Raw genomic sequence first — 25,643 nt, forward strand, 5'->3', positions numbered from 1 at the left:
TCTGCCCATTGGGGGATAAGGAGACCACCAGATGAAGGAGTAAACAAACTCTTTGGGGTAAATAATCATGACTATGTCCTTGGCATCAACTGTCTTCATTAAACAAATCAGTAGTTTTCATCATGTTGCTCTGACACCAGCAGCATCAGCAACACCTTGGAACTTGTTAGAAATGCAAATGCCTGAGCTACGCCCCAGCTCTAGTGAATCAGACAGCCTGGGGTGGGGCCCAGCCATCTGTGTTTTAATAAGCCCTCCAGGGGATTCTTACGCAAGCTCAAGTGTGAGAACCACTTCCTTAAATGTATTGGGAAAAGTGAATTTGCCTGAGTCGTTCTCATTATTAACTATTAGCACTTGACTTGAAGTCAGAGTTTAGAACCTGCTGTCTTTATTCCAAATTTTTAGTGTGGGGGTCTCAGATCCTCATGTGTTTAGAGTCTTGAGTCACTGAGTAGCCGCTTCTGGCAAACTGAATCTTGTGCATGTTGACCTAAAGCCAAATTAGAACTCCCTTTACTGCTGTTAAGAAACCAAACTTTACAAAGCACCAGTCCACCCTGCAGAGTAAATAGAAACAGTTTTATTTGGTACTGGAGGCACATAGAGAAGTGTGGTATTTTCTACCTCTTTAAATTGCCACTTCTGGAACATTTCTAGTGTAGTTTTGGGCTGGCTAAGTATAGATTTTTAAATTAATGTATTTTTTTCTTGCTAAGTAATTTTATGGTTTGAAAAATTTTCTTTAATATGCAATTGGGAGGTTTAATGCTCTAAGCTCCATGAATATTTCTGTAGAGCAACCTGCTCATAGACAATTATTTTAGCAGTATCCTAGGAATGATCAGTATCATTAACACAGTGTAATCATGTTAAAAGGAAAGTGTCTTTCACCCAGGGAATGTAGCATGTGGTTAGTGTCTTGATAATTAACCCATTGCCCTTGAAAAAAACCCATTGAAGGTAATCAGAAGCAAAGACAATTAACTCCTTTCAAACAATTTCCTTTGTATCTTTACTCCCATCTTAGAAAGGAGATTCCAGAAGGACTTGAAGGAAACAAGAAGACAGGGATAGTTAGATCACGTCAGAGGTGCTGATGAGGCCACTGTGCCAATGAACGTTAGGTGTGCTGCCGGATGCGAGGAGGTTCTCTCTCTTTTCGTGATTCTACTCTATTCCTGTGACACCTCAGAAACATCAGGTGCCATGGCTTCCAGACAGGTGCTTTTTATTAGGCCCCAATCCTCAATCACTCCCCATTTCATCACCTGTAAAATGATGATATGCCTCTTTTGGAGGCTGTTATCAGGATTCAATGCAATAACTATATGCAGAAAAGATTTATAAACTTACAGTGTAGACTCATATAACACATTTTTGTTGGCAGTTCCTACTTTGACGGCTTCCTTTCAGAGGTTTCTGTTCCTTCCATCAGAGCACTTCAACATGTATAGTAAGTCACTCTGCACAGGAAAGATAAAGATAATATCTGCTTCTTTTTTTCTTTTTTTGAGATGGAGGTTCAATCTCGTTGCCCAAGCTGGAGTGCAATGGCACAATCTCTGCTCATTGCAACCTCTGCCTCCCAGGTTCAAGTGATTCTCCTGCCTCAGCCTCCCGAGTAGCTGGGATTACAGGCACGTGTCATCACACCCAGCTAATTTTTTTCTATTTTTAGTAGAAACGGGGTTTCACCAGGTTAGCCAGGCTGGTCTCGAACTCCTGACCACAGGTGATCTGCCCACCTCGGCCTCCCAAAGTGCTTGGATTACAGGTGTGAGCCACTGCACTCGGCCCATATCTGCTTCTTAATATAAGGGACTGGAAGCCTGTGATATAATTTCAAGTTAAAACAGAGTCATGTTAAGTTACTAAAAACTGCCATTCCATGTGATGAGAGAAGAATGTTCAGAATGCTTCAAACAACACTGACGGCTGTCCTATGATGGACTTCCTCTTTATGAGCTAGTCAATTCTGTTTATTAAATGTAACTCTTGTTGAGATAGGTGCGAAGTGCCAGGGAATGATTTCCAGAGGGTATGAAAATATTTGAGGAATTGAGCAATGTTTAGAGTTAGCCAGGTGAAGGAGGGACAGGAGAGTAAACAGCATGAACAGCATGTGCAAAAGATTGCGGAAAAAAACTGGAACACACAGCCCATCTGGGGAAATGCAAGTAGCTCAGAAAGGTTAGAGTATAGAATGTGTTGGGAGGGGAGTTGGGTGGGGAATAGCAAAAGGTAGAAGTGGAGATAGGAGCCTGCTTTGTAATAAGCTTGTTTGCAACCTATTTCAAGGGTTTATGACACACTCAGACACACATGCACACACTAAACCATAGAGACAGGGTAAGCCAGAGGCAGGGCCAGAAATAACCAGATCGAATGTTTGCCCGATTATCTATTTTAACTTGGCTTTTTATTAAATTAAACAGAATCTCTCCGGGATGGAAATCCTTGGCTCTTAGGTTCATTGGGTCCCTTCTGCACCAGTCTCTGCCAGTTTCATTGAGTCTGTTCTGCACCAGTCTGTTGGTTTCAATATCCCACCAACTCCTATCCCACCTATCCCTACTTTGGATGAATGGATGGTTAGGATAAGTTTGGGATGTTATCTCAATGGAAATAAGAAGCCAAAATTTTCAGCATCTGCCACCACTTCTCTCCAAGTAATATGATAAAAATCACTGGACAGAACCTGGCTTTGTGAATAATTTTCTGAGAGAACCGAGTGAATCTTTGGCCTTTATTTTTCTGTCCATAAAATAAGGAAGAGAATAAATGTGCCGGGTATCTGAAAAAGTGATAGTGAAAAACAGAAAAGGAAAGAAAAAGTAAAATAAAAATCAGGGTTATTCCCAGAAGAACTGGGTCCTGAATGGAATCAGGATGCAATACTCCCCAAATTCTCCCAACAAGTATCTCAAATACGTGACAACTTTATGTACATAAATGATGGTCAAAATGAACATTAAGACTGTTCTAAATGAAGCATCCTGAGAAAAAACAACGGGGGAGGATGAGTTAATTCCTAACAAAGCTATCTTATATGTAGCGAATAATTTCTACCTTCCTATACCCTATATATAACCCCTCAGTTACGAGAAGTTCATGACAATTGTCTGCTTTGCATCTGAAATTTATCTTACTCCTCAATGCAGCCTCTAGCCCCCCACTGCATTTTTGTGATAATATATTACAGGTGGAATGAACTGCAAATTATGCTCAACTTAAGAGTTGTAACTGGTGGAGGAAAGGGGCTCGCTGGTGATTAAAATCTAGAGATGGCTCCAGTTTCAGGAAATATGGACCAAGCACTGTCACACTGACTTTCTCACTATGTGCAGCTGTAAGTCCCGAACCAAATGCATGAAGTAGTTATTCAGAGCCTGTGAAAAATAACTAGTAGCAGGTAAACTAGGAAAAAGGATTAGAGTGTGATGTGCCATTGAACTGGGAATGTGAACGGATTTACCATCTTTTCTCTTATGGTATCTCCAATATGGAATCAAGGAAGCTTGAAACCAACAGGGATCCATGCAGACAGAGAGAGCTCTAGGAGAATCCCTCTAGTTCTGTATCAAGAAGCAGGAATGAAGTATCCTAATATTCAGGGAGAGTGGGGGAAAATCTCCCATTTTTAAATTTTTTGTTCATTAATTTCTGATTTTTTTAATTCTCCTCATCCCAGTCCCCAGTGCCTGTAGTGGTAGCAACAGTAATGGAAGAGAGGACCCATGGAAGCCTAAAATTCTGAACCTTTCTTTCTTATCAGAGGAGTAGTGGGTCCAAAGGGGTGGAGATCTTTCCCTATTATTTTCTTCCTCTCTCTGCTCTTCTGCAGTTTTTCAGGCATGTTACAGAAAGTATATAGTAGAGCAAGGCACATGAAACCCCATCTTGCTGATCATAGAACCAAAAAGAGAGAGCCTCAGGAAGCCTGAAAGTATAAGGATAATCTCAAAGAGGAAGGAACTCAGGAAAGAGAACTGGACTTCATACAGGTGTTTATGAATTCCCAAGCTCACCTACAAATTGTGTATGTGTGAATCTGACACTAAACAGAAAACCAAAGGCTTTGGGAACTATAATTCAGGATATACTACCATCCAAGTCCCCAACTGGCCATAGGGTGGAGCCCACATGTGACAGATCCAAATAGCACTGTGAAGGCATTGAAAATGTAGCCAGCACTAAAACACCATCCATAGAAGGCTGATGAGACCTTCAACCTGAACTCAGATGGTTGACTGCCTTTTAAAGTAAATATATTGATATTCGTCGTAAGATTTACTTAAGTCCCAAAGTCTCATATGATAATATTCAATATAATTAAAACACAACAGAAATGCATATAAAAATTTAGAAAATTCTCAGTTCAGATGGAAAATGACAGTCAACAGAAGTGAATGATGAGATAATACAGATATTGGAGTTATCTTATGAAGACTATAAAGCAGCCATCATAAAAATGCTCTAAGAAGTAAGAGTAATACCCTTGAAATAAATGAAAAGATAGAAGGTATCAGTAAAACCATAGAAGACACACAGAATAATCAAATGGAAGTTTTAAACTGAAAAATACTACTAATAAAAATTTTAAACTTACTGAAAAGGATGCATAGCAGAATAAAATGACATTGGAAAGAGCCAGTCAACTTGAAAATAGATAAATAGAAATTATCCAGTCCTCAATAGAGAGGGAAAAAAAATTCAAAAATGAACAGAGACTCAGAGAACTATAAGATAGTAGGAAAAGGTTTAGCATTTGTGTCATAAGCATCCCAGAGAGAAGGGAAAGAATACAATGCAGAAAAATAAATAAATAAATAATAGTGAAAACTTCTTTAATTTGGCAAAAGATATAATCTTGTAGATTTAAGAAGCTCAACAAGTCCCAGAAAGAATAAATCCAAAGGCTGGGCACAGTGGCTCACACCTGTAATCCTAGCACTTTGGGAGGCCAAGGCGAGTGGATCATCTGAGTTCAGGAGTTCAAGACCAGCCTGGCCAACATGGTGAAACCCCGTCTCTACAAAAATACAAAAATTAGCTATGCCTGATGGCAGGTGCCTGTAATCCCAGCTACTCAGGAGGCTGAGGTGGGAGAATCATGAATCGCTTGAACCCAGGAGGCAGACATTGCAGTGAGCTGAGATCATGCCATTGCACTCCAGCCTGGGTGACAGAGTGAGACTCCATCTAAAAAAAAAAAAAAAAATCCAAAAAGTCCACACCCAAATACATCCTTTAAAAGTGGCTGAAAACTAAATACACAACAAAAATTTTTGAAAACAGCCAAATAAAAATGAAAACAAAGTGAAACATAAATATTAACATAATACAATGATTCAAATGGCTAGACTGGCTCATGCCTGTCATCCCAACATCTTCAGAGGCCAAGGTGGGAAGACTGCTTAAGCCCAGAAGTCCAAGACAGTGAGACTCTGTCTCTACAAAGAATTTTAAAAATTAGCCAGGCATGGTAGTATGTCCCTGTGGTCCCAGCTACTCAGGAGGCTGAGGCAGGAGCATTTCTTGAGCCCAGGAATTCAAGGCTGCGGTCCTCTGTGATTGTGCCACTGCACTCCAGCCTGGGCAACAAAGTAAGAGCCCGTCTCTAAAGAACAAAACAAAACAAAACAAAACAAAAGAAGGAAAGAAAGAGGGAAAAAAAAGGAGACCATAATAAAGTTAATATTTTCAAAGTCCTGAAAGATATTACTGTCAAACCAGTCATATATATAATGTTATCTTTTTTATTTTATAGACAGGAAAATTAAAGCCAAATATTTACTGAGTTCTCACAGAAACTTATCCACACAGCCAGGTTCTGTCTAATGATTTTATCATATTACCTGGAAAGGAGTGGCAGCAGATGCTAAAAATTTTGGCAATATGAGAAAAAGATAATTAAAAACAAGGATCTTCAAGCATATGAAAGGTATTATGTCGAGGTAAAAATACAGAGATAATTTCCTCAGCAAAACATATTGAAAGAATTTTCTTGACCCTCAGAGTTACAGAACTCCCAGAGGTCTATACCCAGTAAAAATATTCTTCAACACTGAAGCTAAAACAAAGATAGCCTCAGTGAAGAAAAACTAAGAGAATGCATTTTCAGCAGATCTGCTTCTTTATAAAAGTAATTCTTCCAAAAGAAAGAAAATAATACCAGAAATCCACTTGGAATATCAGAAATAAAGGAAGAGCAAAATAAATGGTAAATATCTGCATAAATATAGTAGACTATCATCCCCTTAAATTCTTTAAAATATAATTGATATCTGAAACTTGAAATTGTAACATTGCTGGGTTTTCAATATATGCAGATGTGATAAATAAGACACCCACAAGATAAGAGGAGAAAATGATGGGAATTTAATGGCGACAAGGTTTCTATATTTAATTTGAAGTGGGAAAACATGTATTTTAAATAAACTGAGAAAAATATATATGTATATTGTAATCACTGTAGCGATCATTAAAAAATTATACCAACAGATATTATCAAAAATACAATGGATAAAATAGAATACTAAAAGTATTTAAATAACCCAAAATAAAGCAGGAATATAGAGCAAAGCTATGAAAATAAAAAGAAGAGGAAACAGAATTAAATGGTAGACTGAAATGCAAATATACCAATATTTTCTTTAAATATAAGTGCATTAACTATACCAAATAAAAGACAGAAATGATCTTTACCATGAACCAACTTTATGCTGTCTAAAGACACTCAGTCTAAATATAATCATACAGGCAAGTTAAAAACGAACATGTAGAAAAAGTTATACTATGCAAACACTAAATAAAAGGAAGCTGTAGTGGTTACATTAGTCTATGCATACATTAGAGCAAAGAAAATTACCAGGGAAAAAGAATGATATTACATAATCCTAAATATACATGCATGTAACAAAAGATATTCAAAATATATGAAGCAAAAACCGACAGAAATGAAAGAAGAAATAAATAAGTCCATCATATAGCTGAGAATATCGATACAGGAGTGGGACAGGGAAGGGCTGAGTAGAGAAAGACAGGGTCCCTAGGGAGGGCTCCACCCTCAGGTCTGTTCCCATAGACCTAGGTGAGGACAGGCACTCCTGTTTTCATGCCCAAATGTTGTATTTTCCAAGACCAACCTGGCCTGCCACGCCCTGACCCTGTGCCTATAAAAACTCTGAGACCCTAGCAGGCATGCACACAAAGCAGCTGGATGTCGAGAGAAACACACTGGCAGAAGAACACACCAGTAGACACCAGTAGGGCATCTATGGCGGGACAACGTGGAATTTGGTTGGCGGTGGTTGGAGGAGAGTCTGGCTGCTCAGCAGCCCCCAGGGGAAAACCGCCTTCCCACTCCATCCCCTTTCTGGCTCCCCATCCATCTGCTGAGAGCTACTTCCACCATTCAATAAAACCTTGCACTCATTCTCCAAGCCCAAGTGTGATTTGTTTTTTCCAGTACACCAAGGCAAGAACCTCAGGATACAAAAAGCCCTCTATCTTTGCAATAAGGCAGAGGGTCTAATTGGGCTGATTAACACAAGCCACCTGAGGCAAAACTAAAAGAGCATACTGTAACAAACATCCACTGGGGCTTCAGGAGCTGTAAACATTCACCCCTAGTCGCTGCCATGGGGTTGGAGCCCCACAACCTGCCTGTCTGCATGCTCCCTCTAGAGGTTTGAGCAGTGGGGCTCCAAAGAAGGGAGCCACACTTCTATCACATGCCCTGAGAGGGGAATAAGGGTACTTTTCCCATCTCAATATCAGCACTCCTCTTTTAAATAATTGATAGAACTGGTAGATAAAAAACTCATTGACACTATAGAAGAACTGAACAACACCATTAACTAACTGTATCTAATTGACATTTATAAAACATTTCTACTCAACAACAGCTAAATACACATTCATCTCAAGAGCACATGAAACATTCTCCAATATGGACAACATCTGGATTCATTATAAAACAAACCTTAACAAATTTAACAGAACTAAATTATGTAAAGTATGTTCTCTGATTATAATGGACTTCAACTAGAAATGAATAACAGAAATGTAAAGGGAAAATATTCAAATACTTGAAAGTTAAACAACATACTTCAAAATAATCAATGCAATGTAGAGAAAGTTCCAAAAAAATAGAAAAGATTTTGAACAGGATAACAATTCAAAATTTACAGGATGCAGCTAATGCAGTGTTTAGAGGAACACTTATAGAATTAAATATGTGAAAAGAAGAAAATTCTCATATCTATCATCAAAAGGTCTTCCTTAAGAAACACTGGGGAGGGGGGAGAACAAAACAGGCACAGCATACACTGAAGAAAGGAATTAAAAATTGAAATTTCAAAAATTAGACAAAATCAGTAAAACCGAAATCTGTTTCTTTAAAAAGACTGATACCTCTGGAAGGCTGACAAAGAAGAAAATAAAAGAAAACAGGCCCATTACTAAAATTACAAGTGAAAGAAGGATCTTCCTATGACCACAGAGTCCACAAATTAGGTAACGGGAAAAATCACTTAAGCTGCAGCACTAGATCAAAATAATCAACATTTTCCATTTCAGAGTATATAATATATTAAGTAAAATTAGTTCAGCTTCAAAGCAATATTGATTTCAGGACAATGAAAATACGGAAGTAGTCTGCCCAGAGCTGGCATAGTGCTCTAGCATATCAGAGTCACTGGCTCCTAAATTTTTGTTGCTCCACCATTCATGGCTTCTATTCCAAGATGACCTCTCTGTTCAAGATGGCTGCCAGAGCAAATTATTAAACATCTATTCTGTCCAACAGGAGGGAGAAAGCTACAAAAAGAGGTAGGGATCATACCTTGAGAGACTCTCTTCAGAAGTTGCAGATCACTTCCACTGTATCCTATTGGCTAGAATTTAGTCACATGGTCACTTCTAACTGCAAGGGAGGCTGGGAAATGTGATCTGTAACCCAGATGCCCATATCTCTGAGTAAAATAATAAAGGAAGGAGTAGATAAGGAATGTGGGTACAATCTGTAATGTTTGGCGCATATCTTATGAAAGTTCTTCTAGATATTATCAGAACAGTTTGTACTTCAGAAACTGAAGTTCCTTCAGCCAGGAAAAAAAAAAAAATGTTCCTTGTGGGACCATATTAGAACCTCTACCTTCAATTCAAAATTCTATTCTGAACTAAGTTCCTGTGAATAGGTGATGTCTGTTAAACTACTAAAGTCTTGTGTTTTTCTCTCATAAAATAAGCTCCTCATATTCACTCAGAACCATCCCCATCCATTAATGTTATTCTCTGTCACCACTAGGGACACATCAGCTCAAATGTAATTCCTATCTAAAAACCATTCAGCAGCCATTTGGATGAAGTTCAAAATGGGGCATGTCAAGGGTCTTTCAAGAGTCCAAGAAGTTGAGGTGTCCTGCTTTGCACTGTGACCCTTCCTTAACTTCTCCTGCCTTTTTTGCTCCCTGTGGAGCAGGGCTAACTCACAGGCACTACACCCAAAGTCGGCAAATATGGGCTCTTGACAACTGTATTTATACTCACAAAAACTCACTTTCAATTACATGCAAATTAAGAGGTGAGTCAATGCAAATTGAGGGGCGGATTATTTAGAACTTTCTAGGAAAGGGACAGTAACTTCCAGGTCATTGCCTTGGAATGGTGTGGTCACTTCCGGGTTGTTGCCATGGCATTTGTAATCTGTCATGGCACTGGTGGGAGTGTCTTATGCCAATGAGTAATGAGGGCAGCTAGGGCTTACTTCTGTAGCCATCTGCTGGTTCCTGCTGGTTTTTCCACTTTATCTTGCCTGGACCAGATCCTGTTTGGGTCAGAAAGGTTGTGACCTGAAAACAAATCCTTCTAGCCTTCTACCTCATCTTCTCTTCCCCTCATAACCCTCATCCAACCTACCAGCAATTTTTTTAGCATGAATCTTCAAAATACACGCTGAATCCTACCACTTCTCAATTCTATACCTTTGTCCAAACTTTCCTGACTCTTGACACTTTTTATTCTTGATGTCTAAAACAAGACCTAACACTCTCATAGGTCTACATCAGGAGTTGGCAAGCTTTGTCTATAAAGGACCAGTAGCAAAGGTTTCAGACTCTGCAAAACAAAAAAAAAAATATGATCTCTGCAACTACTCAACTCTGCCATTGTAGCATGAAAGCAGTCATAGATAATAGGTAAGCAAGTGATCATGGCTGTGTTCCAATAAAACTTTATTTACAAAAGCCAGCAGCAGGCAGGATTTGAACTGGCTGTAGTTTGCCAACCCCTGGTCTAAACTCATTGTGGGAAGTCCCTGCAGCGTGTTTTTCATTCTTTAAAACACATTTTTCTGTCTTCATTTTTACTCGTGATAACACAACCACTTTTTTTAGCGCAATGTTCTATATTTTATTACATGCCATTTTCAAGTACATTATTTCATTTGGTCATACACACATCACAGTGACTTTTTCCATACAGTGTTGTAGGGTAATCATCCTAAACTCCTGAAATCAATATTTCTTCATGTCTGACCTTTCCAGATAATGATCTATGTGACAGAATTGCTCCACACATACCCACTTTATCCCTATAGGAAAACGAACACTCTAATTAATGACTCCTCTAATTAAATCTTTTCCTTCACCCTGAACTTTAGCTAAGAATAGAAGGACAGCCAAACCGAAAATAAATCAAGCTTGTGTTTTTCTTTCTGTTAGAGAATATCTCAGGACTCAATATACAATTTGTTTCTAGAAGTTTTCCATGTTGGGAATGAGACAGTCACAGCATTACATGGGAGGTAGGAATATAAAGTTATAGAAAAAAGAAAGAATGAACATGAGTTAAGAGAGAAGTTACAAACCAATGGTACCTGAGTTAAATCCAACCCAGGGACATGTTGCTTGGGCTTCAAAGTAGTTTTAAACAATTTGAGCCACCACTAAAAAAAAGAATTATTTTAATATAAATTTACATGCCTCACTTATCTAAAAAAATACATGAGGTAATAGCTATTTCTGGCACCAGTGGGACCAAACTATTTCAAGGTAATAACAAGCTGGAGCTGAACAGTGCCAATTACTTTTAGATAAAAAGTGTTCCCCAGTTTTCCACAATCTCCACCACTCCATATTATGTACTTAATACTGAAGCAAAGTATTGGCTGGCAATTACTATTATTTTTGCACTTTTTTATAGTAAATAAATATTTTTCTGTGCTCTTTTTCCAATGAAAATCAGGAAAATAATAAATTGAGAAGTCCATGTAATTTAAGAAAAAATGGAAACAAGTAGCTCATTTTGTTGCCTGTCTGACCACTATAGGCATTTGAGTTTTCCTCCAGTGCAGGAGAAAGGGACTAGCCTGGAAACTGGACTTGAGTTCTAGTCTTAGTTCTTATTTAGTATGAGGGATTTTTAAGCAAGGTATATACCCTGTTTTAGCCTCAATTTCTTCTCCAATAAAATAAAAGTTTTTGTATAAGTTAGGGTGTCTTCGTTGTGAAAAAAAAGTAGTTAATTTTATATGAATATCCAAGGTCATATAATTGATTCAAAAGCTAAGGAATCAAGTTTGAGAAATAATAAGGAACAAAGCAAGACACTGCAAGGAACTTGGCAGCATCAGCTACAGAAAAAGACCCATTATAGAGCAAAGTGAGCATTGACTGGGGAAGATGAATCCTGACCATTACTTTTACCTTTGCGTTCTTTGTTCACTCTTCCAAGTTCCAGCATATGATTGGCCAAGCTTGGGGTAGGTGGCCTTTTCACTGGATGTACCAGGTCAGAAAGCAGGCAAATCTTGGAGATGGTGCCCCAGAGACCCCTTTTATCTCCCACTGCAGAATAGACACCTAAATTTCCAGTCCCACTAAGACAGTACATAGCAGGGGAAGAGGTAATGCCTCGAACAGAAATTGGGATGCCGTTGGGAAAGGATAATCCATGCTTCCCAGACCAAAAATCAAAAGAAAGTGTTCTCTTTTAGATTAAGCAAAATTGTATATGCAGCCTAAATACAAAAAGCACAGGAAAGCACAGCAGCTCCAGCTGAAGCAGTAGTGGGCTACCTGGATCCCAATCCACTCTGTGACCCCCTCTCTCTACATTAGCCCCTGAAGTACTTCTGCTGACCCAAGATATCTCTGAAGCACAGAGTAAAAACTACAGGATGAGATGATCCCTTGAAGCTGCAATTTTGAGATTTGAATGACAGAAAAATTAGTTGAGTTTCCACTGGTTGACTCGGCTCAGAGACTCTAACTAGATGATGGCTGCAAGATAAATCTTGACAGGCAACTGAGCCATGAGAATTGTTCCCCTGGGAACTGCAATAGCACTAGTAAATCATTCTCATTGACTGCTGATGAGAGAAACTGGCTTCTAGGTTACCACCATCAGAGACAGGGTTGGAAACATTGACCTCAGTGTTAGCAGCTGAAGGGCTCATCATTGACCCCTTAGCCTCTGAGCCCTCAGACATATGGAATGCCCCCGGTTTTGGATTGCTGAGGACATCTCTGTGGCCCACCTCTCTCATGCACATTAATATGTCTTCATCCTTTGTTTAGCATGGGAAAAAGAAAGGGGAAGAAAACAAGCTCTTGTGGACTCTTAGTGTGAGCAATCAACAGGAAGAAATGAGGAATGGGACAAAAATATCATATTGATCAAAGATTTGTTTTGAATAACCAGCCACTCTGGGTAGCAGGCAGCTGGAAGCACATTATGAAACTATTACAGTATTTATACAGAGCTATGCTAATAGTGAACACAATAGTGCAGAAAACCCCAGTTGCAGAAATCATCAACTTTTTGGAGATTTCAGAATAATTTTTTTCTATTAAGGAAGTATCTCGACCTCACACCGATCTCTTTACTGAGCCTCTCTTGGGACTGGTGTTTACATAGACAAACACAGGAAGCTCAGTGAGCTGATCAAAAGTTTTCTCCTTACAAAAGGGTCCTATTTATTGCATTATCTTAATTTGTTCTTCATATGTGACTGTGTCTTACTCTTCTGGGTGAATTATTGCTGTGTTCTGAATGTTTGTGCCCCTGCCCCCATCCACTTCTCAAAATTCATATGTTGACATTCTAATTCCCAAGGTGATGGTATTAGGGGGAGGGGTCTTTGGTTGGTGATCAGGTAATGAAGGTGGAGCTCTCATAATGGGATTGGTGCCCTTATAAAATACTCCCATGGGACTTCATTCACCTCTTCTACCACATGGGGACACAGTAAGAAGGTGCCATCTATGAACAAGGATGCAGGCCTTCACCAGACACTGAATTTGCCAGCATCTTGGTCTTGGACTTTCCAGCCTTTATAATTGTGAGGAATAAATTTCTGTCATTTATATACCACTCAATGTATGGCATTTTGTTATAGCAGCCTGAACAAACTAAGACAGTTATCAACACGAAACTCCACTATCTTGTTGGGGGGTTGGGGGTGGAAATGAGCCATTGGAGGAGCTCAGATGGATATTACAAGTGCTGTCTCTTACCCAAAAGAGTTCAGCTCTCCAGGAAGACACGAGAAAGAAGGTTGGAAAGTTGGACTTAGCTTCATCTCTTCAGAAGTCAGGGACTCCTGACTACCATCATGAAGGAACATTTCATCACTCTCTTCAGAGGACAGGCCACTGTAACTGGTTCTAGGAGTCACAGTAAGACATCAAACCTTCCTTCACATAGTTTATAGGCTGTTCTGCCTGGCAGGATGTACATGCATCAAATGGGAGAACCCAATAAACAAATGAGCTGAACAGCCTTCCCAGGAAAAAAACAAAGCCCTCAGATATGTGACCCACTGCACTCAGGCCCCATGTGGCCAGAAGAACCATAAAGTACCATATATAGTAGCACAGGCACTGGAGACATGTCAAGATGTGGATGTGAATCCAGCTTTATCACATATAAGCTTCATGATCTCCACAATACTCAGTTGCTCAGTTTTTCCATTCTTGAAATGGAAATAAAATCTCATTGGGCACATGGAGGCCTGAAAGAGATGATGTATGTTGTAAAGGTCCTCTCACAGTGCTTCATGCATCGTACACCCTCAATAAATAGTAACTTTCATTATCATCAACCTTACCCAATAAATTGCTGAATGTTATAAATTAGCCTAGTGATTCTCAAAGCTGAATATGCAATAGAATCACCTAGAGCTATATTTTCAATAATCTTCATGGACTCTACCCAAGACCAGCTGCATCAAATGACTCAAATTACTGAGGATGGAATGTGTGTGTGTGTGTGTGTGTGTGTGTGTGTGTGTGTGCGTGCATGTGTCTGCAGGCGTTAAGCTTTCCAGATGATTCTGATACATGATTCTGATATAGCTCATGTCTGGACTAGAATTTGAGACCCGGTGTGCATAACTGGAGACAACCTACATATGCAAATGTAGTTACCACCAATCAGAAGCCACAGTCACATACCCAGCATGATCTAAGAGAATAAGGAGAGCAGAGAAGCAGAAAGAAGACACAGAGTCAACACATGGTGACCATCTCAAAACCAATCTAACCTATGTCAACTGAAGATGTTATTTATTAAGGCCCTTCTAAGCACAGTCTACAAATAATTTGCAAATCTCTCATTATTAAAGGGCTTAGCTGAAAGTGCTAAAACTACATAGCTAACACATGCAGGGAAATAAAAGATTCCTTTAGTAAATTTAGGCTACATAACAATTTAACTTTCTTTCCCACATTCTTTTTTCTTTCAGGAATGACTCTCTATCGGCACTCATTTTTAAAAATTACATAGCCTACGTTTGCCACCTACATTGAAAGAATCATTCCAGGAGTGACTTTTTATCAAATTTAGCAGTGTACTGTGTAAACCAGAAACCATGTTGTAGAAGGTAGAATAGAGAAATGGCTACTGGTGTGATCTTAGAAACTGGGAAAGGCTTTCCCGACCCCCTTTTCTTTGTTTTCTAATGAAAAAAATGCCTTCAAAGAATTAATATTTTGTGCTGTGCTTTTCAATTCTAGCCATGTACTGTTATCTCCTAGGGAATCTTAAAAAATTCTGAACTCCAGCTTCAGATTTTCTGATTCAGTTTAGTTAGGGTGGGACCCAATTATTGATTTTTTTTTTTTTTTTTGAGACAGAGTCTTGCTCTATCGCCCAGGCTGGAGTGCAGTGGCACAAGCTGGGCTCACTGCAACCTCCGCCTACTGGGTTCAAGCGATTCTCCTGCTTCAGCCTCCTGAGTAGCTGGGATTACAGGCCCACACCACCACACCTGGCTAATTTTTGTATTTTTAGTAGAGATGGGGTGTCACCATGTTGGTCAGGCCGGTCTCGAACTGCTGACCTCATGATCTGCCTGCCTCGGCCTTCCAAAGTGCTGTGATCACAAGCATGAGCCACGGCGCCTGGCCAATTATTGATATTTTTAAACTCCTTGGAAGACTCCAATATACAGGCAAAATTTACAATGACTGCTTCAATGAAAATTTCAAACCCTGTTAAGAACAACACCATATTCTCTCACATTGAGAGAATATTTTAAGCTATTAACAGCTTCTTAGGCACTAGTATTTCCAACAGTTTCTTCTGTGAGGTACTAAAGGGTTGCCAGAGAAAATATAAGACGCCTGGTTAAATTTAACTTTCATATAAACAACAATTATGGGACATACTTACACCAAAACACTATTCATGATCAGAAATGCAAATTTATCCGTACGCTCTGTGTTTTTATTTGCTGTATCTGACAGACAACCCTACAGTAAGGGCATCGGGAAAACTGGACAGAATCTTCTAGTATAATTGGAAAAAGAAAGAAACTGTGGACATCTGTTGGTTTTTCTTGGCATTCTTCTCTCATTCCACACATTAATTTTCTTCAAGGAACACCCCTTCCCTCCTCAGTCTACGTGGTTCCAGTGGACACATAGTCTAGACCTGCCAAGCGAATCAGTCCTTCTCCCTGGACACAGTGATCAGCATAGGCGTGATGGGCGCTTAAACCGGCCAAACCAAACAGACACCATTCCAGAACTTTTTTATGTAACTGTGGGGCAAGAGGTACTCTTTCTACAAAGGTAGCTGAGAAGATAGACTATAAACCAGAAGCTACTGGGGGTCTCCTTACCATCATGTATGAAGGGCCTCTCTGCATAAAGCCAATAAGAAAGAGCAGAGCTGGGAAATGAAGAGAGTCCAAGCCCTAATGGGCCCATAAAGGAAAATTGGATATCCACATGCAGAGGAATGAAACTAGATCCTTATCTTACACTGTATACAAAAATCAACTCAAAATGAGTTACAGACTTAAACATAAGACCTGACACTGTACACCTACTAAAAGAAAACCGGGAGAAAGCCCTATGACACTGGCCTAGGGCCTAGGCAATGATTTTTTTTTTTTTTTTTTTTTTTTTTGGAGACAGAGGCTTGCTCTGTCACACAGGCTGGAGTGCAGTGGGGTGATCATGGCTCACATCACATGGCAACCTCCGCCTCCCAGGGTAAAGCAATCCTCTCACCTCAGCCTCCCAAGTAGCTGGGATTACGAGCATGTGCCACCACACTTGGCCGATTTTTGTATTTTTAGTAGAGACACGGTTTCACCATGTTGATCAGGCTGGTCTCAAACTCCTGACCTCAAAAGATCCACTCACTTCAGCCTCCCAAAGTGCTGGATTACAGGTGTGAGCCACCATGCCTGACCAGCAATGATTTTTTTAATATGATCCCAAAAGCACAAGCAACAAAAGCAAAAATAGCTAAGTGGGATTCCATCAAACAATACAGAGTGAAGACATAATCTATGAAAGGTGAAAATAGTTGCAAACCATACATCTGATAAGAGGATAATATTAAAAATATATAAGGAATTCAAACAATAGGAAGAAAACCAATAATTCAACTAATGAGCCTGTGGATCCAGCCATACCTGAAAATCTGTATCTTGCACTTTTTGTGATGCCAGTCAACTATCTTATTTTCTAGCTTATACCAATTTGAGTTACTTTTCTGCCATTAACCCCCAAAAGAGTCCTGAATAATACATATAATGTTACAGATTGAAAAGCTGGAATCCCAAGATAAGGTTTCAACCTATAAATGACTATGTTTTTTTAAGCCTATGAAATGGTTCTTCCACATGAACCAGTGTTTAACTCCCCTAATAACTTTCACTGACCCCCACTGTTCCTAATTCACTATTTCATCCTCTGTACCCCTCATAGCTTCTACTTTCTGTCATGTCATATCTCACACGTTATAGCTATTTATACCCGTAGCCTCCCCCAGATGGTTTCCTGATCATTGTATTCCTAGCTGGAGTCTGACACATAATAGGTACTGAATAAATGTTGCTTAAATTAAAGCAACTGTATAGGCAGGCTGTGATGATGATGCCTTGGAAAGCTAAGTTGAGCCACAGGTTGAAGCTATTCCAGAAGTGAGGGAAGGTGGCAGAGGAGAGAGCTGACCCCAGTTGCACAGAACTATTGCTTCCGTCAACCATCCCTGCATGTGTGGAACAGGACCTAAGCTTTGGGCTTTGTGTTTAATCTAACCTCCAGTGTCATCAGATTTTTTTTTTACCAAATGTATTTGAACCACATACACTATTCAGTTTACAATTACATTCTAGAATTCAGTGGCCAATAGTCATTTCCAGGTAACCTGAACAAAAATGGAATCAAAGTTAGATAATTAGCTTTTTCCCCGTGGAAATGGTCCCTAGTTACTGAGGTCCACTATGTGAAGAAACACAAAGGGATGTATTACGCAGATGACACATGATAGGGTGGAATCTAATATTGAATGGTTTGAAGTACTTGGCAACCCTAAAAGGATAAAATATCACTCAGAGTACAAAATTCTCCTGCTTACGTGAAGGATCAAGTAGTCCTGGATTTCCTATCAGCTAATTGCAGGATCCCGAGTCCGTTTTTATAGCTGTGCTTGCAATGGCAAAAATAAAAGGCATGCTGAAGAGTAGTGAATGAGTGAATGATGTGATTTTTTTTTTTTGGCTTCGCATTCAGATTGGATGCCATGAGGACACAGTCTCCTAAAAGCATGACATCTGACTTGCTGTCTCAATGTGCATCTTTGTAGACTGGCACAGAAATTCCATTTGAACTCCCTTGTGTTTTTTATAACTATAATGAAAATCATTTTCCCTCTCAAATTAAACTCATTACAAGCTCTGCACACCCTGTGGGGGGCCTCAACCTTGGCCACTAAGAATTCTACACTATCAGGACCTATGGAAGTACTTCCGGTACCCAACCTGACTGTTGATCTAGCAAAACTGACTGGTACTTCTTAAAGTCATCAATTAACAGTAAGTGAAGCCTTAATCCAGCAGGAACCTCTCACTCTCAGGCTAATCAACACTTTGAAGTGGCAAGGTGTGCCATGGAGCTCATGTTCAGAGGATTCCCTTTGAATGAGTAGCCTCTCATCTTGGGGTGACATTACAGGCAGTGTCAGCCCCTGTCTGAGGATCTTGACTAGAATCTGCCATCACAGGAGCTCCAAGACGAAAAGTCTCCATGTTCCCCTTTAGAACTGCCCATCATCCATTTTCTCTGGGAGATTTGCTTGCTAGTTAGTAAAACCATCCGGAGCAGCCGTGACAGGGATAATTACAGAGGAAGACAGCTCCTCACACAATTGTTTTAAATAAAGAATGGGAGGAAAGCATGGGGAACAAAGAATGCTCCAAAGGTTTGACTTCAAATAGCATTAAAGGAGGACAATTTTAATTTCCTGCATGAGTTTATTAGTATCCATCTCCTGACCTAAAGGAGTTATCAGGATAAGAGAAATTCCTGGGAGCTAGCCACATCTGACTGCTACAATACCATAGATCCTGGACAGATTCCAGGGAACCTGAAGATCTAGTGGAGGAGAGCATATGTCCCCTTTCTTCACAGAATCAAAGGATCTGAAGTGCCGGGAGCACTTTTAAGTCCACACCAGGCAACCTTCCACCCAACGCAACATCGCTTGTCACTTGGTCTTGCTTTGAGTATTTCCAATGATGGGGAACTGTCTGCTTTTTAAGGGAGCGTGATCTTTCTAAAAAACAGTTCAAGCCAGGCACAGTGGCTCATACCTATAATCCTAGCAATCTGAAAGGCCATGACAGGAGGATTGCTTGAGGCCAGGAGTTCAAGGCTTCAGTGAGCTATGATAGTAGCACTGCACTTCAGCCTGGGTGACAGAGCAAGAACCTAAAAAATAAATTAATCAATAAAAATTTAAAAATACACAGTTCAGTTTGCTGAAAAGTTCTTTTTAGGAGACTAAATAAAATCTGTTTCCTAGTAACTTTCAAATATTTGTCCTGGTTTTACCACCTGGAATAACATAGCGCTAATTTAACTCCTCCTTCAGATAGTCATCCTTTGACCAGACAGCGTTACCATGTCATGAATATCTCCAAGTGTTCCTTATATGGGTTAGTTTTCAGTTCTACATCATGCTAACTCACTGCTTCAGTCTCTCCAATGTTACTAGTGCTTTTAGAAACTCTGGCAAGCATCTTTAAAAAGCAAGAGGGGTTTTTCCCTGTATCTGCCCAACCTAGTTCCTTAACCCTGGGAGGAGTGCTGCTTGAAGCCACACACCCCAGTGGCTCAGTGAGCATCATACATGTTATTTATAAAGTGAACATCATACAGTTATTTATACAGTGAACATCATACTATCAATTGTGTAGTACAAATATTGTAATTGTAAAGTACAATGACTGGGCCAGGCGTGGGGCTCATGCCTGTAATCCCAGCACTTTGGGAGGCCAAGGCGGGTGGATCACCTGAGGTCAGAAGTTCGAGACCAACCTGGCCAACATGGTGAAACCCCATCTCACCAAAAATACAAAAAAAAAAATTAGCCAGGCATGGTTATGCGTGCCTGTAATCCCAGCTACTCGGGAGGCTGAGGTAGGAGAATCGCTAGAACCTGGGAGGTGGAGGTTGCAGTGAGCCAAGATCGCGCCACTGCACTCCAGCCTGGGCAAGAGTGAAAACTCCGCTCCCCGCCCCGAAAAAAAAGTACAATAACTGACTTTGTTCCTTATTCAATAAACTTTCCTAAGGTGGCAGGGGGTGTTGTGGAAGAGTTAAAAGAAACAGCAAGAAATAACCCAGGAGACCCTTGGTTATTACTTCTTTGAGGCCAACAAAAAATAATCCATTTGGTTGGCAAATTAGCATTTATTGGAGAATAACTGCTGAGAAAATAGAAATAATTTGGCAGCATGCTGGTCGCAGTTGGCTATTCTTGGGAATTCTGCTGTTTCCCAGAATAATACAAAAGTAATCTGGGACTGTCCAAGACACAAGGACTCTCAAGCAGGACAGTGAATTTGTAGTATTCTCTTTTCATGGTGTGTAGCATCACAAATGATGCTCTCACATAAACCCGTGGGTGGCCCTCAAATGTCCATGTGTGTTTCTTTGCTGGTAACATGACTCGGGGGCATTCTGTGGCTGCGTTTCCATGTCCTATGGGCTCCACCCTTTTAAACTGAATTGATTCACCCTTGAGGTTAAAAATCAGTCAAACAAGTGTTGACATGGTCTTTGAGTCTCTTTCCTGCAAAGACTAATCTAACCAGCTAGACTGCCATTGATTCCCCCCTCCCTTTGCCAATATTGACAATGGAGGGCAAACAGCATCTCAGGAATAGATCTGTCCATTTGCCTGGGCCTGGAGCCCCAGGTCAGCAATGTTAAAGCCCAACACACCAGCAAAGGTTAAAAGATAAGCCCCCAGTGTATTGAGCTGTGTTTGTTGTTTTGACAAAGTAGAGAGTTTAAGGACATAGAAGGCAGTTCATTTCTCCTGTCAGTGTCACTGCAGAAGATGGATGTTTTTTGGGAACAGGAGCCAGAGAGCCAAGAACCTTGGCATAAGGCCAAACCGTATTGTCCACATCAGTGATTAAGGGAATCAATCCCTAGTACTCATGCTGCTGAGCTGACTTATAAGAGGCTGCAATCAGAAATCCAGAGCCACAGGGTGGCTGGCCTGGGCCTGGTCTCCATCAAGTACTAAAGTCAGCTGTTCTGAGATTCTTCCAAACAGAAGGCCAGGTGACCAGCGAGGCTGTGGCCCAGCAGAACCTATGTCTTGGGTTTACAATGATGGAGTGAATCAGGGCTCTCTCACTGTTTTCTGCCCTGTAAGTGATCTGTTTCACAGCATCCCTATGAGAAATGGGCGTGGACACAGTGCTGCCCTGTAGACTCACACTGGATAAGTCACAGCAAGTTCTTCTTGAGGATGTCATTTATTTCCTTACACTGTGTTGATTTTGTGCCGAACACTAGCTTTAAACAATATCGTAGTTTCCAGATTAGGAGGAGAATGAGTGCAAGGCTTTCAGATAGATATTTAACAGTACTTGAATGTTTTCTATATATTCTCTCTATATAATATATACACATATATATATAAACAGACATGTTGTGTATAATGTATAACATATGTTATATATACATAACATATGTATATGTAAACACAGATATACAACATATATACACATATATACACACATACACATACATACATATGCATGTTTTATTATTACAGTACATATATAATATTTTATATATTTGTAGTAGTATCTTCCAGACTTCATTTTATATTAAAGTAATTCACAAATGTCATTCTCTTTCCTATTTATTATCAGTGCCTCAGGGGCAGGGGCCATGAATACCCCCAGGGCATTCTAGGATGGTTTCTTATACATTGTAGGCATTCCATCAGTATTAGTTCAATTGTTATTTCAGTTAGATGGGTCTATACCCGCTACTGCTCTGTGCTGTCTCTTTATAAAGCCATTTGCTACACCCGATTTCCTGCCCATTGTCTGGGTAAGCCTATTTGTCTTTCTTATCCCATCTTTTCCATCCTTTTTTCCTAGAGAGGAGGCCAATTTTGTTCTTTCGCCTATCATCCCCTTCCCACAAAGAGGGAACTTGAAGCTACCTCTTGTTGCAGCGTTTACTCCGTAACTCCAGAAAATTACTTAAAGCATCATCAGCTAAATACTGTCCTTTGAGGGTTGAAAGTGGTCATTTGGTTTTATGAACAAGGGATGCAACTTGCTTACTTCTCTTCCTAGAACTTTAAACAGTAGAGATTAACTGATAGCTCATTGTAGTTTTCATACAGGCTTAGCAGACTCGCAATTTTGTAACCAAATGTGCATCTTCTTCACTAAAATATTCATCACTGTACTTAGTTTCCACTTTTTGCCAATTTGGTTTATATCTCTCATTTGTCATGACTAATAAAGAAGAAATGCCCTCTTCTGCTATCTCTGCCTCCTCCTCTAGTTATTGCTGCTAGAGGAATAACAGCTAGAGGAATGCAATGACATGTATCCAGTAAACATTGTCTCTTAGAGTAATTCACCAAGGAGGCCTTCCTCCATGAAATTAATCTCTTGAAAAATACTGACAATTTACACTTTGAGTCTCTAAATCATTTTGCCTACTAGCATTTTGAAATGCTTAACTGATATATGTAGAATGCCCTGCATTAGTATATACTAAATAATTATTTATTGACTTAATAAATAAAAAACCTATTTTAAGGATCCTTTACCATCCAATCCAAGCCCTTCTGACACCCACCACTTTGTTAATGCTTCTTCTTTCTACTAGACTAGACAGCCCCTGTGGGTGTCTTTTTAAAAACACTGTAATTAGATATTTGCTTGTTTATTAATTTGACAAATATTTAATTACTATTCTGGATGGCACTTAGTAGACACACAATGAACAAATAATTTGTTGAATGAATTAATGGAAGAGTAGTGAGAGATCTAAATACCATGTCCTATAAGAGACATTTGACACCACAGCAAGATTTCAACCCAGAAAGAGAGGCTCTTAGAAGCCTTAGAGGCTCTGAGAGGTTTTCAGACACCTGTCTAAAAATATTTGAAGGATTGTCACGGATCTTGTCTTTTTAAAGTTTGATATGTTTTTTATCTTTTTTTACTAGTTTGCTTTTTTAAATACTTCATTAAAATATTATTTAACTTGATTAATAAGCTTTTTGGCATCGCTTTGAATTCTGTCCATAAGGTAGGTGCCCCAGTAACCTCACTTAAGACTGAGCCCCACATGTGATATTTACTCTACGGGCTCAGTAATTTCCCATCTCCACATATTCAAATCATGCATCTTTCGAAGCTCATATTAGGGTTTTGAGGGAAGGGTGTGTGAAGACTGTTAGTTGGCACTTGGATCGGGGAACCTGGTATATTCAAATGACTTCTTTATCACAGAGGCTCAACAGGGAATATGCAAAGGGAACAATGACAGATCAGATTGGAACTCAAAGTCATCACTTAATTTTGATCTTGTGGCAAAAAATATTGGAACACTGGTGCAGATCCAAGCCCTAAGGAAGACTTGGCTATAGACTGTGATGGTTAATACTGAGTGTCAACTTGATTGGATTGAAGGATGCAAAGTATTGATCCTGGGTGTGTCTGTGAGGGTGTTGCCAAAGGAGACTAACATTTGAGTCAGTGCGCTGGGAAAGTCAGACCCACCCTTAATCTGAGTGGGCACCATCTAATCAGCTGCCAGCATGGCTAGAATATAAAGCGGGCAGAAAAATGTGAAAAGACTAGACTTGCCTAGCCTCCCAGCCAACATCTTTCTCCCATGCTGGATGCTTCCTGCCCTCAAACAACAGACTCTAGGTTCTTTAGTTTTGGGATTTGGACTGGCTTTCCTTGCTTCTCAGCTTACAAACAGCCTATTGTAGGACCCCATGATTGTGTGAGTTAATACTTAATAAATGCCTTGTTCTCTTGGAAAACTTAGTCACAGACATGGACACAGGGAGAACGCCATGTGAAGAGAACCAGGGAGAAGATGGCCATCTGCAACCCAAGGAGAGTGTCCTGGAACAGATCCTTCCCTCACAGCCCTCAGGAGAGCTGCCAACACCTTGATCTCAAACATCTAGCCTTCAGAACTGAGAACATAAATTTCTATTTTATAAGCCACCCAGTCTGTGGAATTTTGTTAAGTTATAGCAGCCCTAGAAAACTAATATGGACTTTTACTCCACTGTAATACCAAAGTTATATCTTACCACAGTCATTCTAAAACGAGGCTAAAGTAACCAGGATACAAAGGTCCTTGAGAGGAAGAGACTGGCAAGCAAGATGGCAGCCTCTGACAGGAATTATCCGTTCAGCCTACACATCTATTGGTGATAGGATTGCTGGAGATGAAAGAGAGTACAGTGCCCAGATCAATAGAAATTTACCTATATGGAAACAGGAAAGGAGAGAGACCACTGCATCATGCATTTGATCTAACTTGATGTTCTTTGGACCTACCCCCTAGGAAATGTGAGCCATCCATGGCCCAAGGTTTAATCAATTCTGTATACCTCCCCATCCAGAGAAACGAAAAGATGGTAGAGGAAGAAAAATAGACTTCTTCCTCCCTAAGGCTCAGTTCAAATGTTACTTCTGAAAAAAGCTTTAAGTTTTACACTCATCTTCATTCCCAAAGCTGGAAGTAAATTCATTAATCTCTAGACTCCCACATCATTTACCAATTTCTTTTTTCCTATGGAACTTAGCACTCTTTTATAACTACCATTTACTGAGCCAGGCAACAGGAGTCATTGGATCTTAAAAACAATCCTATGGGGCCAGGTGCAGTGGCTCACACTTGTAATTCAAGCACTTTGGGAGGCCGAGGTGGGTGGATCATGAGGTCAGGAGTTCGAGACCAGCCTGACCAATGTAGTGAAACCCCCGTCTCAATTAAAAATATAAAAATTAGCCAGGTGTGGTGGTACGCGCCTGTAATCCCAGCTACTGAGTAGGCTGAGGCAGGAGAATCACCAGAACCCAGGAGGTGGAAGGTTGCAGTGAGCGAGATTGTGCCGCTGCACTCCAGCCTGGATGACAGAGCAAGACTCTGCCTCAAAACAAACAACCAAAAAAAAAAAAACTCCAACTCTCTGGGTTAAGTATTCCCCCACACCACTGTAATAGGTCTTAAAATAACTTATTTCAACAAACATGTACAGAGAATCTAGTATGTTTTATCAAATCTGTATACCTGAGGGCCCTAAAAATGCCCTCAAGAAGAGTCAAGGACATTTATGGAGAATGCAGTAGAGACAGTTTTTTCATTGAAAGTGGTTAGGTTTTCTTACTGTGAAAAAAATTGTAGTAAGATAATTGACTCTGTAATCAGTGACCACAGCATGAAGCCCTTTCCACACATATTCTGTTCCATCAGGAGACAGGCCAGAAGCTGTGGGCCTCTTGGAAGGAAAGTTTCACTGAGCTGATGCAGGCTTTTGAGTGGCTACACTTGGGAACTCATTCATTTCTTCTGTTTAGAAAAATGCTTATAATATTGATGTACTGCTAGTCTGACTGATGACTTAGGGAAATCAACAAAAGGAGGCTCTCTTCACTCCTCCTCCCACCCTAAGCCCTCCAACCTATACACAGACACTAAGCAGCCACCATATTTTCTCCTTTAAAAGCATTTTTTCCCTTTTTTTAATTGAAAGTTTTGCTTGGGGTCTAAAATTTAAATCTACGCTTCCACCTAGAAGAGCTCTTCTGGACTGTC

The sequence above is a fragment of the Homo sapiens genome, chromosome 17 (genome assembly GCF_000001405.40).
Source record: "Homo sapiens chromosome 17, GRCh38.p14 Primary Assembly".
Lineage (NCBI taxonomy): Eukaryota > Metazoa > Chordata > Mammalia > Primates > Hominidae > Homo > Homo sapiens.